At 40.2% G+C, this 20137-nt stretch overlaps 1 protein-coding gene across 19 annotated transcripts in view, besides 1 other annotated feature; it reads right to left on the bottom strand.

The window, feature by feature from the left end:
* Window positions 1-20137, bottom strand: part of SPATS2 (spermatogenesis associated serine rich 2) — a 160574-nt gene that overhangs the window by 7718 nt on the left and 132719 nt on the right. For 15 of the 19 annotated variants that reach the window (XM_047429409.1, XM_047429412.1, XM_011538691.4 and 12 more), the window contains 3 exons: window positions 19503-19638; window positions 5095-5153; window positions 526-635 (listed from right to left, as the gene is read on the bottom strand). In XM_047429409.1, coding sequence (XP_047285365.1) covers window positions 526-635; window positions 5095-5153; window positions 19503-19638 — 305 coding nt within the window. Of the gene's footprint in view, window positions 1-525; window positions 636-5094; window positions 5154-6802; window positions 6847-19502; window positions 19639-20137 lie in introns of those variants that run through there. The other 4 variants (XM_047429414.1, XM_047429415.1, XM_047429413.1 and 1 more) reach the window with 2 other exon arrangements.
* Window positions 5703-5881: a silencer, noted in NCBI's record as "fragment chr12:49907610-49907788 (GRCh37/hg19 assembly coordinates)". NCBI's record gives its function as "represses an EF-1alpha promoter that drives an FKBP-Casp9 reporter gene in an ReSE screen in K562 erythroleukemia cells {active_cell/tissue: K562}" and the evidence as "EXISTENCE:reporter gene assay evidence [ECO:0000049][PMID:32094911]".

Raw genomic sequence — 20137 nt, 5'->3', positions numbered from 1 at the left:
CCGGGGGGATGGTATGAACTGAGGGTAATGGCAGAGCAAGACTGCACAGTCCTTCAGACCGGATTAAGGATTATAGTATTCATCCTAAAAGCAACAGAAAGTTTGAAGCAGACTGCTGTAGTGTGGGGAACATACATGGAGGGTGGGGCGGGTGGGGCAGAGACAGAATGGATGAACAGAACCAGTTAAGAGGCTCTTACAGAAGTCCAGGCAAGAGATGGTGGTAACCTGATCATAATGGTGGTGGTGGAGATGAAGAGATAAGGTCAGATCTGAGATTTAGTCAAATGGATGGAGTGTGCTGACAGATTTAAGGTGGGAAATGGAGAAATTTCCTAAGGTTTCCAGCTGGGACAACTGGGTAGATGATAATACCACTTACAGAGAAAGGGACTTGGAAGAGGGCCAGGTTTGGGAAAGGAAGATCATGAGTTTAATATATTAGATATGGCCATGAATTATGAAAATTTCTTACTTTAGCCCCTGAGGATAAGAAGAAAGGCAGAAAGCAGAAAGAAGTTTTACCTTGATATCAGCTCTGAGCTCAACCAATTGCTGCTCTGACATTTGAACAGCCACATGAGTCATCTTCTTTAGAAGTTCAGCCTTCTTTTGTCGGCTGAGCAAAATTTCCACTGTAGAGGAAAAGTGAGTGTGAACCTTATGTTGCTGCTAAATAGGATAAAGAAGAACTAGAAATATAAGCCTTGCAGTAGGTATTTGGTCAGCCAAAGGCTTAGCTGCCTATCCACCCAGAAAATGAAAATATCAAAAGTCTGGTCTCTACCTTCCATTGGGTCTCTGAAGGCAGTTAAGTGGTAAATATTTTTTATAAATCACAAACACTCATAAATCATTGTTATTTCTCCTTCCAGTCAAAAAAATTTTATCAAGATGCATATAAATTAAAAAGGAAATATGTACACATAATAAAAAATATTCATCTAGAGTAAGTTGGGTATAAAATGAAAAGAGCATCTCTCTTATTTCTGATTTTGTGGTCTCCTCTCCAGGGGAAACGACTGTTCACCATTTCTTACGTACACATCCAAATATTGTGTATGTACATACAACATGCATACATATGTAGCTCTCTTTTTTCCCTTCTCACAAATGGAAGTATATCATACACATGGTCTTTCTTTTACCTTAGCTATTTTTACTTAATATATCTTTAAATTTATTCCCTATTAATACATCTGGATCACCTTCATTCTGTTTAACAGCCACCCAGTATGTGGATATACCACAATTATTTACCGAGTTCCCTAGTGATGGGTATTTAGATTGTTACACCCTTTTAAGAACCACCTTCTCTGGCATGCTTTCTGATATATAACTTGGATATGGTCATGGCAGAGAACATACAATAAAAATCTCCCAGAGAGACAGGGGCTACAGTGGAAACAAAACCAAAGAAATCCTCCCAGGAAGCAGATAAACCACCCAACGAATGTTCTCTACTACCAGGGAAGGGACTCTGCTATTCCTTCCCATCCAGCAAGATTTGATCATTGCTTTTCCAAGTGGGAATTTTTACTATAATTATCCTTTTCTTTCTCCAACTATGTAATATGGGAGAAGGGGGCATTTAGCCTTTCTTTTAATTTATGAGACCCCATCCTTGGAAGATCTGAAATCACTCTGAAGACCTGGCCTTTCAGCTGAATATTAACTAACTAGATGAGACTTTGGAGGTATTGCTATTGAGGAGGTGGTGAACATATTCTCATTTTGGAAAAAAGAGGGATACTGGGTAGTGGAGGACTGTAGCAAAGACCATTAGCTGATGGAACACAGTCTTTCCAACTACATTCAGGAACATTCAGGGCTATCAGAAATCCAATGTTGTTGGGTACCAACATAATTGGGTAAAAAAAAAATCTATATTTTCTGGCTTTGCTACAGATGAAACGGCCATGTGATATAGTTTCCCCATTGAGATATAAGCAGAACTCAAAGGGCAGGCTTTACAGGAAAGCGTTTTAAGGGAGTCTTAGCATGTAACGTTTTACTCCTTCTCGACTGGAGCCTAGGGAGTTGTCTTTTGACCATAAGCATACTCTCAGAATGGCTGGGCAGAAGAACAGAAGATCCTGGGTCCCTAATGTCATCTGGGAAATGTCCTGCCAGCCCTGGGTTGCTTACCTCTGTACTTTTCATTTTCTGAGAAAAAAGGACACTCACATTTATTTAGGCCACTCTGTTCCATGTAGTCAAACTCAATCCCTAACTGATATACATAGAATCCTGTAACACACTGAGGAATTAGCCAAATTCACGTCAGAAAAAAACAGAAGTTTTAAAGAGTTACACCAGGTATTACAGAGAGCTGGATGTATTTAGCAAGTTTACTCAGCCCAACTGCCACAGAGATGCACACATGGGCTGCCTAGACCCAAGTCACACTAATCAATCAGGGCCCACTTTCTCAGGAGTCAGGAGCATGCCTACAAAAGTTTCTTAACGCCAAAGCCCAACAGTTACAAATGATCTATTGGTTTAGGTCCCAAGATAAAACCTATTTGCCATTTGTATCAACTTCAGTTTCTCTCAGCTCTAGCATTCAGTGATTCTATGACAAAATTATAGCTCTCAAAATGGCAAAAATGAGGTGAATAAAAAGCTTTCTACACGTAACAGATAACTCATAGGACCTAATTATACAACACTGGAAAAGATTGAAATACTACAAACCTATCAGTTACTTAATAAAATTATAATATGTAAAAAACAAAAAGCAACTCTTGATAGCACTGGTAAATGAGTAATTACTCTTGATAGCATTGGTAAATGAGTAATATCATTGAGAACCAGGATTTTCAGGGAGAAAAGAGCTAAAGATATAAAACTGATGAAGTTAAGTAAAACTTTGAGCTCTGAATTTGATAAAATAAGATTGGCCACAAATTGATAATTGGTTGAAGCTGAGTGATGGGAATTTGTTACATTAGCCTCGCTATCTGAAATTTTCTTTTCTTTTCTTTTTTTTTTTTTAGTTTTGAGATGGAGTCTTGCTCTGTCGCTAGGCTGGAGTGCAGTGGCGCAATCTCGGCTCACTGCAACCTCTGCCCCCTGGGTTCAAGTGATTCTCCTGCCTCAGCCTCCCGAGTAGCTGGGACTACAGGCGCATGCCACCATGCCCAGCTAATTTTTGTATTTTTAGTAGAGACAGGGTTTCACCATGTTGGCCAGGATGGTCTTGATCTCTTGACCTCGTGATCAGCCCGCCTCGGCCTCCCAGAGTGCTGGGATTACAGGCGTGACCCACTGCACCCGGCCAAAATTTTCTATTAATATAAAAGATGTATTAATATTCTTAAAAGCACCTTCTTTTTTTTTAATTTCAAGACAGGGTCTTGCTCTATCGCCCAGGCTGGAGTACAGTGGTGCAATCACAGCTCACTGCAGCCTCGACCTCCTGGGCTCAAGTGATCCTTCCACCTCAGCCTCTCAACTAACTAGGACTACATGTAGCACATGACCCCATGCCTGATTTATATATATATATATATATATATATATATATATATATATATATTTTTTTTTTTTTTTTTTTTTTTTTTTTTGAGATGGAGTCTTGCTCTGTTGCCAGGCTGGAGTGCAGTGGCGCAATCTCGGCTCACTGCAACCTCTGCCCCCTGGGTTCAAGTGATTCTCCTGCCTCAGCCTCCCGAGTAGCTGGGACTACAGGCGTGTGCCACCATGCCCAGCTAATTTTTGTATTTTTAGTAGAGACGGGGTTTTATCATGTTGGCCAGGATGGCCTCGATCTCCTGACCTCGTGATCTGCCCGCCTCAGCCTCCCAAAGTGCTGGAATTACAGGCATGAGCCACTGCGCCCAGCCTTATTTCTTATTTTTTGTAGAGACGAGGTTTCACTATGTTGCCTAGGCTGGTCTCAAACTCCTGGGCTCAGGTGATCCGCCCAAAGTGCTGGGATTATATGCGTGAGCCACCACGCCTGGCCTAAAAGGACCTTCTTCTCAAAACTAAGAAATATGTCTTCTTAGTGGTTTTAGTTTATCTGCATTTCCATTTTCAAAAAGAGAATATACAGATAAAATAATGGACTGAAATGTCAAATTTAGAAACTCAAAATATATTGCTCAATGTAATGAAATCTCACCTCTGAAAAACAGTGGAAGGCATCTCTGCTACATTCTCAAATTTTCAAGTTAAAATGGACCAAAGCTGAAGTCATTTCAGTGCTTCAAAGCTGCATCCTCTGGCCCGTGACCACACACACAAGTGATTTAACTGTGAGTCATGATCTCGACCTAGCCCAGCATTTCTATTCTTACCAGTTTGGGGGTGGGTTAAAATAAACAACTTTCCTAATAATTAATCTGGCGTTCAATGCAGGAAGATAAAACCTGCCACCGAAATGCCTCAAATCAATGCCATTGTACAAGTTGCAGTTGGTATTCCCTTGTCTTCGTGTAGCTGTGTATGTTTAACCTAACACTTAACAGAAATGATCAAAAAATAGGTATCTGTTTTTTCTGTACAAAACCCCACAAATCACCAAAGTTAGACTTCATTCCTCCAGAATCTATTTTAGTAAGCTTTCAAGAAACCTGGTATCTTGAACCCTCAATTCTCTAACTTTTCCCCTACCCATTGATAACAGACACTGAGTGAAGACTGTTCTATAAACTGAGAAAACAAAGAAAGTTCTGAGATAGGTAATGATAGGAGTATACACATACAATCGTAGGCAACCTAATGAAGTCTTCTCTGATTATGCTAAAGGTTTTTTTCCAAGTAGAAAAAATCCCAGTGGAATTGCTTAAACACTAGAGGAAGAAACAAAATAAAATAAAAACCTGGTGGCAGATACCGTGATGCAGTCTCTTATACACTGAACTCTGCATTCAAAATATTAAGATTTGGAAATATTTTTAAAACAGGCTCTTTAAAGTTATTTCACCTGAAAGGATTCATATGCCAGTACAGTGCAACTGCTTAAGATTATTTAAATATATAAACTCTTATTATGGTATTTATATGGAACTTTTGTTATAAGGGTTGGGAAGTAGGTACCTACTATTTATGAAGGTAATAGCTTTAATTAAAGATCAATCATCTTACTTGCTTCAGCTTTCACTTTGTCCATTTCAGCAAGCAACGCCACTTCTCGATCCATTAAACTAGGAAAAGATGACAAAGGAATAAAAAGTTTGATCAGAAACTCAAATACAAAATTAGCACATTATTAATAGTAAAGAAAGACCAGTGAGTTTGTTTGCTAAAAGCATACTAAAAAATAATATTGTATGGATCACATACAAATTCTGATGTCTTACTCTCAACAAAGAATATTTTAAGATTTTCCCATAAATAAAATAAATAGACCCAATTCCCTTTTATATTGCAATATTGGTACATTGCAGCAGTACACCAATTGTAGACGTCTAAGAGTTGAGAACCAGCAGATGGCAGTAGCAAGCTACAAAACACATTTTTTAGTAAGCTGTGCTAAAGCAAAAGTCCGTGTGGAAATTACTTACTTAACCATGTATGTACTCACATACTTTTTTTTTTTTTTTTGAGACGGAGTCTCGCTGTCTCCTAGGCTGGAGTGCAGTGGCGCGATCTTGGCTCACTGCAAGCTCCGCCTTCCGGGTTCACGCCATTCTCCTGCCTCAGCCTCCCGAGTAGCTTGGACTACAGGCGCCCGCCACCACGCTCGTCTATTTTTTTTGTATTTTTAGTAGAGATGGGGTTTCACCGTGTCAGCCAGAATGGTCTCGATCTCCTGACCTCGTGATCCGCCCGCCTCGGCCTCCCAAAGTGCTGGGATTACAGGTGTGAGCCACCGCGCCCGGCCTGTACTCATACTTTTTATATTTATATTTTGGTCTATAAAATTTGATGGCCTTGCATCTAATTAATTTTTACCAAGCAATATCCCCACTAGGGCATAGTAAATTTATCCATGATTAGGACTTGTATGTCTTCAACAGCTGACCATGGTTGCACCAAGTCCACTTACATTTTAGTACTTAGAATGCAAAGTAGTCAAAAGATAGACATATAGTGTGCTAGTTTCTGAGAAACACATAATAGTAACTAGGAAGGATGGAATTACAGATTTCTGGTAGGCTTTTTACAGAAAAAGAACATTAAATAGGCAATTAGAATTTTTTCCACTGCAAATATAAATGGTTTATAGGCACATAAAGCTTTTCCATGTTGTTATAAAAGAGCCCACAGCCTTCAATGTATAAGGAGACAGTAGTACCCTAGTATTCAACCTCTGGATGAAAATAATTTTCCTTACCATATCGGTTTTGCTTTGTGGTGGCAAAAAGAAAAAAAAATCTAGAATGTTAATACTTGCACAAACATGCAATGTTCCAACTTTCTTCAAATTTGGAGTTCATTCTGATTTCTCCTTTTGAAGGGGAATATAACTACAGGGTAAATAAAAGTTCCACTCTTGTTTCTGGTTGTAATCACACTCAAACACACACACACACACACACACACACTCTTTCTCTCTCGCTCTAATTCAATTTAGCTCAATACATAGTTATGTTAGCACAAAGTAGTTAATGTGGAGACTATAGTGTGAGACATACAAAAATGTCTAAGGCAGGGTCATTTCCTCAAGGAGCAAATCTTTTATAGGGAAGTGCCAGAGAACATAGGTTTGATAATCGTTACGCATGATGTTAATAAACAGACTTGTAACTAAACAAATTTGGTTGACATATTAATCCAAAAGCATCAAACTGGAGAGAAGATACAATTATTGTGGGGTAGCAATACTTTGCTAAGAAAGCATTTCCCAAACCTTGGCAATATTTTGCTCCAAGAACTCTAGCAGCATTGGAATACCTAAAAGACAAAACAAAAGCACAACTGAGACAGGAGCTGCCAGGCCTACAGTTTGACATTACCTCTCTTATGTTGCCAAATCACCTTAAGATGCAGACGCTGTGTCCATCAGATGACAAATCCTTTTTCTCTGACAAAGCTTGTAAAATATTTATTAAAAGACTACAGCAAACAAGTAAGCCTTTTGCAGCTTACAATCTATTATGAGAAGTAGAATGTCAGATGACACTTTTAGCAAGGTCTGCATCAACACAATCAGGCTTTTTTGTGGAAATTTGTGCTAGTACATTCTGATAGCATTTTTTTTTCCCTGTGAGAATCACTAGTGTTCATTTAAATAAACTTTGTTTTTGATTAACTCGGTGATCACAAGAAATTCATAGGACTGTGCATGGACAACCATATAACCCCTCCATTAAAAAAAAACTAGCTTATAATATATCCAGCTACCATGTACCCACAAAAATTAAAATTAAAATACATATATTAGCTTATGTTTTCATGCCAAAAAACAATGAAAAGCAGTAAGAACTTCTGTTTCTTTTTGTTTGTTGTTTGTCATGTTGCCATCTATTGATAACATCTAGTGAAAAGTCCTATGATGTCAGCCCAGGGTTAAACAAGAGAATCTACTAGTTAACTGATGCTGATATATTTCTCAGAGAAAAGGTTGATCAGCACTTATAATTCTCCATTAAAATTTTTACATCTTTAAAATACAAAAATGAATGTCAAAATTTAATAGTAAATTTCTTATTAAAAGCACATCAAAAAAGTAAATTATATAATGGCATTATAGTTGTATAGAAGAATGACCTATTTTTAGGTTATTTATGCTAAAGCATTTAGGGGTGACATGTCATCTACATCTGCAAATTCCAAATGGTTCCACCAAAATATTATACACACACACAGCAAATACACTGTCATTATACCATCCTTTCAACTTTTCTATATATCTGAAAGTTTTAATAATAAAAAGTTAGTGAAATGTTGGCATCACAAAATAAATGGAGAAGGTGGGACAAGTTCAAAGTGGAAAGTAGGTTAGGTGTAAGGATAACAACATAGGCATTTTTTACAATTAAAAACAATAATCTATTGTAACACAACTTTTAACACAGAAACTTAAGCTAAAGTTTTCCATCTGTTTCTGAGCTAAACAATGGTTCCAGTATGTATGTGTGGCCAAGAGGTTCAAAAGTACCTGTGGTGTGAGGTAATGGTTTTTAGATGCCAGAAAGGCAAGCAATGAGTCCTCCCAGAGAGTGATGAAAGGCTCATTCAGACTCTCTATTACCTTGCTCACTCCAATACCTCAGGGTACTAAGCTTCTCTCAAGGCTTTCTTGAATGGAAATATGCCATAATAAGCACCAAGCATCTGGCAGACTAGATTCTAAAACTGCTAATGAAATTCAGCTAAATATTGCTGGGAACCTGTTTGGAACAACACTAGTTCTTATTAAGCCTGGGCCTTATTCAGTGTTGAGAATTTCCATATCCTTTCTTCAATCATGAAAGATAGATTTGGATGACTGCTTCCTGCTACTAAAGAAAAAGACTGGTAACTAAATGTTCTATATTTCCTTCCTTCCTTTTCAGGACTTCCTTACCATGTTCACATTTGCTCGACTTATTCTATAAGATGTGTTTTTTTTTTTTCTTTTTTTTGAGATGGAGTCTCGCTCTGGAGTACAATAGCATGATGTTGGCTCATGGCAATCTCTGCCTCCTGGGTTCAAGTGATTCTCCTGCCTCAGCCTCCCAAGTAGCTGGGACTATGGGCACGTGGCACCACGCCCAGCTAATTTTTCTATTTTTAGCAGAGATGGGGTTTTGGTATGTTGCCAGGCTGGTCTCAAACTCCTGGCTTCAAGTGATCTGCCTGCCTGGGATTACAGGCATGAGCCACTGCACCCACCCAATTTATCCTAAAGCTTTTGCATAATTTAGTTGCTCAGAATAGCTGTTACTGAAGCATCCCCATTGATATCTCTAACACAAATTGTGTCTATCATTTGAAGCAAGTCCTCTAATTAATATACAGATATCTAACATGCAGTTAGAGATTCTAGCTCTTGCCTTCAATAATTCATTGGTACCAAAAAATTGTTAATTATTTGTTTATAACTGTTGCATTGGAAAAATAATATTAAAATGGAAACACAACTCTTGACAATTCCACAGGTCAATTATTTCAAGGGATAATAGTCAAAACCATTCAATAATACTGTCAGAAAACATTTGTACACAATTTTATTTGCTCAAAACTTAGAATCTTTTTTTTTTTTTTTTTTGAGACAGGGTCTCACTGTCGCCCAGGCTGGAGTACAGTGGCACCATCAAGACTCACTGCCAACCTCCGCCTCCTGGGCTCAAGCAATCCTCCCGCCTCAGCCCTCTAAGTAGCTGGGACTACAGGCACGAGCTACCATGCCCAGCTAATTTTTTACATTTTTTGTAGAGATGGGGGTTTCACCATGTTGCCCAGGCTGGTCTCAAACTCCTGAGCTCAAGCGATCCATCCACATCAGCCTCCCAAAGTACTAGGATTACAGGCATGAACCGCTGTACCTGGACGATTTTTTTTTTTTTTTAAGACAGGGTCTTGCTCTGTCACCCAGGCTGGAATGCAGTGGTGTAATCATAGCTCACTGCATCCTTGACCTCCTGGGCTCAAGCAATCCTCCTGCTCAGCTTCCTGAGTAGCTAGGATTAAAGGTGTGTGCTACCACACTTGGCTAATTTAAAAAAAAAAAAAAATTATAGAGGCGGGGGTCTCACTATGTTGTCCAGGCTGGTCTTGAGCTCCTGGTTTCAACTGATTCTCTCGCCTTGGCCTCCCAAAGTGCTGGGATTATAGGTATGAGCCACCATAAATGGCCTTAAAACCTATTCATTCTAATTCCACTAACCAACCAAGCAAAAATTCAAGCAAAGCCAATGCAGACGCCTTTTTTTCTTTGAAGACGGTTTCCTCTTTCCATATAAAATAACCAAAAAAGAGAATTGCCAATAGTTTTTTTCCTTCCCTTTTTTTTTTTTTTTTGAGACTTGCTCTGTTGCCCAGGCTGGAGTGCAGTGACGTGATCTTGGCTCACTGCAACGTCTACCTCCAGGGTTCAAGCGATTCTCGTGCCTCAGCCTCCCGAGTAGCTGGGATTACAGGTGTGCACCACTCATGCCTGGCTAATTTTTGTATTTTCAGTAGAGACAGGTTTCACCATGTTGCCAAGGCTGGTCTTGAACTCCTGACCTCAAGCAATCCACCCACCTCAGCCTCCCCAAAAGGTCAGGTGCAGTGGCTCACGCCTATAATCACAGCACTCTGGGAGGCCGAGGCCGGAGGATCACTTGAGGCCAGGAGTTCAAGATGATGCCTGGCCAATATGATGAAACCCTGTCTCTACTAGAAGTACAAAAATGTGGCGTGCGCCTGTAATCCCAATTGCATGGGAGACTCAGGCAGGAGAATCGCTTGAACCCAGGAGGCAGGGGTTGCAGTGAGCCGAGATCATGCCACTGCACTCCAGCCTTGGTGACAGAGCGAGACTCTGTCTCAAAAAAAAAAAAAAAAAAAAAAAAAGAAGTTAGAACGTGAACATAAGCCACGGTTCTCATGTGACAGGCTTTCAATGGAGTAACCTTTCTTTCCTTTTCCAATAGTCAAAAGCACCTCAGTTATAAGCTAATCCAGGAGATCATGTGACTCAATGATGATATTTTATAATCTGTTTAAGGAAAAAGAACCAGTAACAATCTGTATTGCTAAGGAGTATGTTGTTCAAGTTTTTTTGAGACAGAGTCTCACTCTGTTGCCCAGGCCAGAGTGCAGTGGCATGATCTCGGCTCACTGCAACCTTTGCGTCCCCGGTTCAAGCAATTTTCCTGTCTCAGCCTCCCAAGTAGTGGGGACTACAGGTGCACGCCACCACGCCTGGCTAATTTTTGTATTTTTAGGAGAAATGGGGTTTCACCTTGTTGGTCAGGCTGGTTTCAAACTCCTGACCTCAGATGATCCACCCGCCTTGGCCTCCCAAAGTGCTGAGATTACAGGCGTGAGCTACTGCACCTGGCCTCAAGTTTTTAGTTGGCTACAGAAAAAAAAAAAAAAGGCTGAGCCAGGGCCAGGCACTGTGGCTCATGCCTGCTATCCCAGCACTTGGGGAAGTCGAGGCAGGAGGATCACTTGAGCCCAGGAGGTCAAGACCAGACTGGGTAACAAAGTGGGATCTTGTCTCTCCAAAAACATAAAAATTAAAATAAAACAAAATAAAAATGGCTGGGGTGTTAAGCCCCCTTAGTGAGTGGCTGACCAGATCCTCATTTGAAACTGTGATTTTGGCTGGGCATGGTGGCTCATGCCTGTAATCCCAGTACTTTGGGAGGCCAAGGCAGGCGGATCAGGCGGATCACCTGAGGTCAGGAGTTTGCGACCAGCCTGGCCAACATGGTGAAACTCTGTCTCTACTAAAAATACAAAAATTAGCCGGGTGTAGTGGCACACGCCTGTAATCCCAGCTACTCGGGAGGGTGAGGCAGGAGAATCGCTTGAACCCGGGAGGCAGAGGTAGCAGTGAACCGATATTGCGCCACTACATTCTGGCCTGGGAGACAGAACGAGACTCAGTCTAAAAAAAAAAAGAAACTGGAATTATGACACCAATGTCTAAAAGCTCCAGAAACCAAAAAAGATGAAAACGTGTGGTGTAGGAAGGTAAACACTGCAGAATAAAACAAACAGGAATACCTGGTAAGACAGAAAACAAAAGAATGGTGTAGTGGAAAAGTATCTTTGGGTAAAATATTTTTGTGCCCATCTTTCTCACCTATAACATGAACGTAATACCACAAGTGATAATGTTATATAGATTAGAAGCACTGTACATAAAAGTTTCTGACATACAATAAAAGCTTAGTAATTGAGCTCAGTAAATAGCGGCAGCAATTATTATTTTAATTCTTGTATTCATCTTGATTTCTCAGTTTCAGCAGAATATCTCTTTAGTAAAATGCAATCGTATTAACCGGTAAATCATTATACATTCCAGATTCATTGTACAGAAATTATTAAATAAACATGTACGCACACTAACACAGTGTAGGCAGTTATGAAGTGATGAATCAAACTAATTTTAAGTGAAAAGATCACATTGAAATTACACTCTCACTGCGATTACAACTATTCAAGAATATGTATGAATATACATAAGGAACACAAGGGAACGCAGGAAATAAAAATTACTTATGTGTTAAGGTGGTAGAATTTTGAGTTTTACTTATATCTAATAAAACGATTATAATTATGGGCAATATAGTAAAAGTAAGAGGGAATAATGAAATCTTTAAAAAAAGGAAAAACAAAATTCAGATCCCTCCATCAAATGCTCTCATTATACCTCAGCCTCTGACTTCATCCCTCGCTACTTTCACTATTGCCCCATAGCAACAGCTAGACTGTGTGTGGTCCCTACGTGTCCCTTCTATGCCTCTGCTCATATCTCTGAAATGCAGTGGTCCACCCCAACCTTTCCGCCAGTGTAAATACCATGCTTTTTACATAGCTTGATAATGATTCATTTCCCCAAAGAAATATTTTCTAATTAACCCCACCCCACAGTGGCCCTGCCTTTAATCTTAAAACCTTTCCCGCTACTCTGATCTGACCTGAAGAATCCCAGAATCACAAGGCACTACAAGTTGTGACTTAAGAATAATAGTGATTTAGGACCTTCTGAATCACAAAATCAAAAGAACATTGAATATTCAGATGGAGTATTCTTATAGTTTTACTTTATTGAACTTAGAAAATACTTTCATAGGCTCAGCCTAAATCCTGGTGCTTCTCATCCTAACCTGTTTCATAATGACTAAGTTCCTTAGTCCCTAAATTCTCCTACATTGGGGTTTCTCTGTTACATAGCCTTTAAGCTGAAGAGGAAACAATACAGATGCTCCTCGGCTTACAATGGGGTTATGTCCCAATAAACCCACTGTAAATCGAAATTTTTTTTTTTTTTTTTAAAGAGACAGGGTCTTGCTCTGTCACCCAGCGTGGGAGTACAGTGGCAAGATCATGGCCCACTGCAGCCTCCACTTCCTGGGTTCAAGCGATCCTCTTGAGTAGCTGGACTATGGGCACGTGTCATTGCGCCCAGTTAATTTTGTTACTTTCTGTAAAGACGGGATCTCATTATGTTGCCTAGGCTGGTCTTGAACTCCTGGACTCAAGTAATCCTCCTGCCTTGGCCTCTGATATGGTTTGGCTGTGTCCCCACCCAAATCTCACCTTCAACTGTAATAATCGCCAAGTGTCAAGGGTGGGGCCAGGTGAAGATAACTGAATCATAGGGGTGGTTCCCCCATACTGTTTTTGTGGTAGTAGGTCTCAAAAGAGCTGATGGTTTTATAAATGAGAGTTCCCTTGCACAAGCTCTCTTGGCTGCCACCATGTAAGATGTGACTTTGCTCCTCCTTTGCCTTCAGCTATGATTGTGAGGCCTTCCCAGCCACGTAGAAGTGTGAGTCAATTAAACTCTTTCCTTGATAAATTACCCAGTCTTGAGTATGTCTTTATTAGCAGTGTGAGAACAGACGAATACAGCCTCCCGAAGTGCTGGGATTACAGGCATGTGCAAATTGAAAATATCTTAAGTTGATAATGCATTTAATATACCTAACCTATTGAACATCAAAGCTTAGCCTAGCCTACCTTAAACATGCTCAGAACATTTATATTAGCCTGCAGTTGGGCAAAGTCATCTAACACAACACCTATTTTATAATGAAGTGTTGAATATCTGATGTAATTTATTAAACACTACACTAAAAGTGAAAAACAAAATGGTTGTATGGGTATACAAAGTATGCTTTCTACTGAATGTGTATCACTTTCATACCATCATAAAGTTGGAAAATTATTAAGTTGAACCATCATAAGTAGGGAACTGTCTGTAATATGACATGTACCAACAGTCTCTAGCCTTGCCAAGCTTTAGTGGGGAAGTGAGCCATCAATGAGGTATGAGATGAAAATCATAGGTTAATAAGTCTGAATATATACATTCAAATATTGGATCTGCAACTTAGGCAAATTGCTTAACCTAAGACATACATTTATTTTCAGTAAAACAGAATTAACAATACCTACTTTGTGGAAAAGAAATCAGGATTAAAAAAATCCAATAATATAACTGAACATGTTCAGTAAAATATTCTTCATATGTTATTACTGGTTGAGCATTCCTAATCCAAAATGCTTCAAAAGCTGTACTTTTTTGAGCACTGACATGACACTGAAAGAAAATACTCATTGGAGCAGTTTGGATTTTGAATTTTTAGATTAGGGATGCTCAACTAGTTTCTGCAGACATTCCAAAATCTGAAAAAAATAAAAATAAAAAACCTAAAACATTTCTAGTCCTAAGCATTTCAGATAAGGGATACTCAACCTGTAATTATTTTCACAGATGGTTAGAGTTAAATTTTAAATAAAAAAATATCAAGAACCATGGTGTCAAGTACTAGTAGAAACAAGATATCAACAAACTAAGCTTCAAAAACCAAAGAATGATTTAGAACTACAGTGCTATGTACATTTTTGATAATACATATTACATTAGCACATTCCTTTATTTCTACACATTTTAGATATTTTTGGAGATAATATTTTGCAGGTAGTTTGGTTCATAAAATGATTCCTAAGTTTTCAGCATCTATATGTGGCCTTTAAATGTAAGGACTTAAAAGCCTTCGGTAAGACTAAGCTTGATTTAACGTTAAAAAAAAAAGCTCTGAGCTGGGCGAGGTGGCTCACACCTGTAATCCCAGCACTCTGGGAGGCTGAAGCAGGAGGACCGCTTGAGCCCAGGAGTTCAAAACCAGCCTGGGCAATGTGGCAAAACCCCATCTCTACAAAAGATAGAAAAATTAGCTGGGCATGGTTGCACCCGCCTTGTAGTCCCAGCTACTCAAGAGGCTGAGGTGGGAGGATCCCTTGAGCCTGGGAGGCTGTAGTGAGACACGATGGCGCTACTACACTCCAGTATGGTCAACAGAGACCCTGTCTTAAAAAAAAAAAAAAAAAAAAGAAAGAAAGAAAGAAAAGAAACAGGAAAAAAAAAAACGCGCCAATAAAAGGACATAGAGGAATCAGGAAAAATTTCAAAACCTTAACCATAAACTTACATGACTTTCTGTGATATATAATCTCAAATTTCTTGATAATCTTTTTCTCTTACCCATTTCTCCTTTTAAAAAATACCTTTTGACTTTCATAAAATGGAAACTTTTTATTTAAAAGAGAAGCTGAGTGTGTATCCTGTTGGCATTTTTCATCAACACATTATAGGACAATCTTCCAAAGGAGTTTATATATTCTAGCTTCATGTTCCACTCCATATCCTGCCTCCTTAATATCCTTAAACTTAAGTCAACTAACAGCTCCAACAATGAAAGGCAGACAAATATTACTAATTAACAAGAAAAGTAAACTTGGGTCTAGAGATGATTATTGCTAAGTCACCAATAAGAAGAAATTTTAAGTTTTATACATTAGAATGCTTCTGAGTTTACCTTTCTATAGGTGTGTCAGTTTTTGTTCGGCATCAAAGTGAAAGGAGTTATCTGTATAATTTCCCTAGTGCCTTGTCAGGGGTAATGTACTTTTACTGGGGCAAATCTGTTAGAACTCTTTGCCTTTTTTTTATGCTATAACCAACACAGAAATGTCTTTCTAAGTGACATTAACTCCAAGCTCTGGTTTGGTGCCAAATGGAGTTAGCTCACTTGCCAATTATGTCTTGAAGTAGCGGCTACAAGGAACATTGAAATAAGGTGGTTTATAAACTCAATCAACCAGAGCAAAGGGCTTTATACTAGCAGGAAAGGGCAGGTAATCTCTTTCCTCAAGTTAAATTGACCTGGTTGTTACGTCAGCTAATCAATCCTAAATACACAGTTCCCAGGTAGGAAACCATTTCATTTGTCATTTATTGAAGGAGGCTCCTCCTGGCTGGGTTCCAGTCAGCAGGAATTCACAAATCTCTCTCCCGGAACTGCGTTTCCTGCTGGTTCAAGCTTGTTCCGAATGGAATCAGATCCTGTGACTAAGTAATCAGTAAGCTGAACAATCATGGAGACCAGAGGCTTATCAAAGCAAAGTTGTGATGACCTACTACACTTAGCTCTTTCTTTTTTCTTTTTTTTTTTTGAGATGGAGTCTTGCTCTGTCGCCCAGGATGGAGTGCAGTGGCGCGATCTTGGCTCACTGCAAGCTCCTCCTCCCGGGATCACGCCATTCTCCTGCCTCAGCCTCCTGAGTAGCTGGGACTACAGGCGCCCGCCACCACGCCCGGCTAACTTTTTGTATTTTTAGTAGAGACGGGGTTTCACCTTGTTAGCCAGGATGGTCTCCATCTCCTGACCTCGTGATCCACCCGCCTCGGCCTCCCAAAGCGCTGGGATTACAGGCATGAGCCACCGCGCCCAGCTCTTTTTTCTTTGTTTTTTGAGATGGAGTCTCGCCCTATCGCCCAGGCTGGAGTGCAATGGCGCGATCTCAGCTCACTGCAACCTCCACCTCCTGGGTTCAAGCAATTCTCCTGCTTCAGCCTCCCTAGTAGCTGGGATTACAGGTGCACGCCACCACGCCCGGCTAATTTTTGAATGTTTAGTAGAGATGGGGTTTCACCATGTTGGCCAAGCTGGTCTTGAACTCTTGACCTTGTGATCTGCCCGCCTTGGCCTCCCAAAGTGCTGGGATTCAGGCATGAGCCACTGTGCCCAGCCAGCTCTTTATTTTCTAAACAAGCCAACAATATCTTATATGACAAGAATGCAGTGCAAAGGGCATGGTGCTTCCTCCTAGAGGTTCAGAAAGGGGAAAAATCAGTTACCTAAAATAATTTCCAGAAGTTAGACCTTAATTTAAGGAAAGTTTGGAGAAATGGTGGGATTTAGATAAATACAGAGGAATAGGAGAACATTTTCAGGCTGGGAAAGTGGCATTAACTAGTAGATGGAAGAGGAAATGTGAATGTTAAGTTTTGAGACAATGAGTAATCTGGCAGGAGCAAAAATATGTGTCAAGAAAAACAGAAGACAGCCAGGCGCAGTGGCTTATGGCTGTAATCCCAGCACTTTGGGAGGCCTAGATGAGAGGATTGCTTGGGCCCAGGAATTGGAGACCAGCCTGGGCAATATGGTGAAACCTCATCTCTACAAAAAATTAAAAAATTAGCCAGGTGTGGTGGCACATGCTTGTAGTCCCAGCTAGGGGACTAGGGAGGCTGAGGGTGGGAGGATGGCTTGAGCCCAGGAGGTGGAGGTTGCAGTGAGCCATGACCGTGCCACCGCACTCCAGCCTGGGTGACAGAGCCAGACCCTGTCTCAAACAAACAAAGAAAAACAGAAGACATGACATTAAATTCCTAGCCATAAAACCTGAAAAGTAAAACTTAGAGTTCAGGACAAGGCATGGGTAGACTAAGATGAATTATCTAGCCCCAAAGTAAGTTTTGGTTCTGATGATTTAACTTTTTGGAGGCATTATTTCATTTTGATTAACTACTCCTCTGCAATTCCAGAGACCAGGAGGACTGAGGGGACCTACACTCTCCTCTATCTCTTATATGTTGTGGCAAAAGTGACTAGACTAAATTTGTGAACAGAGACACAGTTAGGTATAACCTGAGGGAACAGTCTACAGGCAGCAAGAAAGCATGTATGGTTTGTTCTTTTCATGAACACTTCCTGTCATATTTCAGATCTAGACAGTTACTAAAAATAAGTATAATGAACAAGTTCTAAGTCTCAAAACATCACCCTAGCTGCTTGTCTTCCTGTCATTTTAATATGGTCCTTAAGTCTTTTCTAGTTTCAAAAAATCCCTTATAAAATACCTCCCACAAAGGAGCTAGAATTTAAACATCTGTTAACACCAGCTGGGCACGGTGGCTCACTCCTGTAATCCCAGCACTTTGGGAGGCAGAGATGGGCAGATCACCTGAGGTCAGGAGTTCGAGACCGGCCTGGCCAACATGGTGAAACCCCATCTCTACTAAAAACACACAAAAAATTAGCCAGGCATGGTGGCACATGTCTGTAGTCCCAGCTACTCCGGGAGGCTGAGGCAGGAGAATGGCTGCAACCTGGGAGGCGGAGGTTGCAGTGAGCCAAGATTGGGCCACTCCACTCCAGCCTAGGCGACAGAGACTCCGTCTCAAAAAACAAACAAAACAAAACAAAAAAACAAATATCCGTTAACACCTTAATATCTAACAGTTAAAACAGCTTCAGTGTTCCAGGAAACATTAGAATATTGCTATGGTTTGAATGTGATCCCCAAAGCTCGTGTGTTGGAAACTTAATCCTCAGTGCTACAGTGGTGAGAGGTGGGACCTTTAAGAGATGATTAGGTCATGAGGGGAGAGTCCCACAAATGAATTAATTTTGTTATTGAGAGAGTGGGTTCATTAGAAAATTGAGTTTGGCCCTCTCTGGCTCTCCCATGCATGCTCCCTTGCCCTTCTGCCATCTGCCATGGAATGACACAGCAAGGTCCTTGCCAAGATGTGGGCCCCTTGACCTTAAACTTCTCAGACTCCAAAACTGTAAAAAATAAATCTCTATTCACTATAAATTACCCAGCTTCAGGCAGATCACTTGAGCCCAGTAGTTCAAGACTGGCCTGGGCAACATAGTGAGACCACATTTCTACAAAATATTTAAAAATTAAAAAATGAGCCAGGTGTGGTGGTACATGCCTGTAGTACCAGCTACTTGGGAGGCTGAGGTGGGAGGATTGCTGGAGCCCAGGAGGCTGAGGCTACAGTGAGATGTGATCGTGCCATAGCATTCCAGCCTGGGTGACAGACAGAGTAAGACCCTGTCTCAAAAAACAACAATAATAATAATAATTAATAAAAGGGCACTTTATTGGAGTGGCATAAATTAAAAAGGATGGAAGAAGGTAGGAAAGCAAAGACAGATTTTTTCTACTTTATAATTTTGTTCAAAAACATACATCATGTCATTTGTTATAGGATCTTAGTTTAAAAGGAGACTTTTTTTTTTCTTTTCTTTTTTTGAGACAGAGTTTCGCTCTGTCGCCCAGCCTGGAGTGCAGTGGCGAGATCTTGGCTCACTGCAAGCTCCGCCTCCCGGGTTCACGCCATTCTCCTGCCTCAGCCTCCCGAGTAGCTAGGACTACAGGCGCGCGCCACCACACCCAGCTAATTTTTTGTATTTTTAGTAGAGACGGGTTTTCACCGTGTTAGCCAGGATGGTCTTGATCTCCTGACCTCAAGATCCGCCCACCTCGGCCTCCCAAAGTACTGGGATTACAGGCTTGAGCCACCGCACCGGCCTAAAAGGAGACTTTAAAGTATATGATCTACTCTATAATTATGTGTCCCTTTCCAAACAATATTAAACTCCAGCTCATTTCTAGAGCATTGTGAGTTATCTGTACCATTCTCACACTGTGACCAAGAGAAATAGAACAAAGCAGAAAGCTAAATATACCATAGGATTTATAAGTCTCTCCTACTATGTAGTTAGTCATGAATGAATGAACTTGGGGAATGGCTGACCATCTTTATATTTATATATGATCATTTTTATGCTACTGATATCAAATGCAGCTTAAATTACCAGCTCTCCAATTCAGCAAAGGCTTGTTTCATTTTCTTAATGGAGGCATCCATCTCTTCTTTAACTACAACTCGATACCGTGCAAGAGACACTGTGCAGCGCTGGAGGTCTTTTACAGATTTTTCAATATTGGAACCTTGGGGAAAAAAACCGAAATATTAAAAAAAAAAAAAGAATAATTATATAGGTAACTTGAAAGTCGGATCTGAACACCAAAGCCAAATGTCATGTAGACTAAGAATCTTTCCTAAATAACCACCTTCCCCAATGAGAAAAACATGTTTTTATAGATTTTTGGAAAAAAAAGGATCCTGGTCAAGATGGAATAATAATAATTGGATTTATTCTTCTATCTTAAACAACTAAAAACATACAAAGACAAAATATATGAAACAATGGTTTTCAGACAATGTGTAACAGGTAGTACTTTTCCCGAGACAACAGAAACAAATGAAGTGAGGCCTATGATTGCCCCAACTTGCTGCCTCAATAGTTTCTAGGCTACAATGCAGGGAGGAGAAATCCTCAACAGCCTGGTGGACCCCCTGAATTGAAGGGACAAAGTTGGGAATTTGGAAAGGCCAAGATGGCTGAAATTCTGGGGCAGAGTATTGGTGAGGAAAGAGCTACACACA

This window comes from Homo sapiens, chromosome 12 (genome assembly GCF_000001405.40).
Source record: "Homo sapiens chromosome 12, GRCh38.p14 Primary Assembly".
In the NCBI taxonomy this organism is placed as follows: domain Eukaryota; kingdom Metazoa; phylum Chordata; class Mammalia; order Primates; family Hominidae; genus Homo; species Homo sapiens.
The sequence above is the reverse complement of the archived record's forward strand: the minus strand, read 5'-3'. Positions and strand labels throughout refer to the sequence as shown.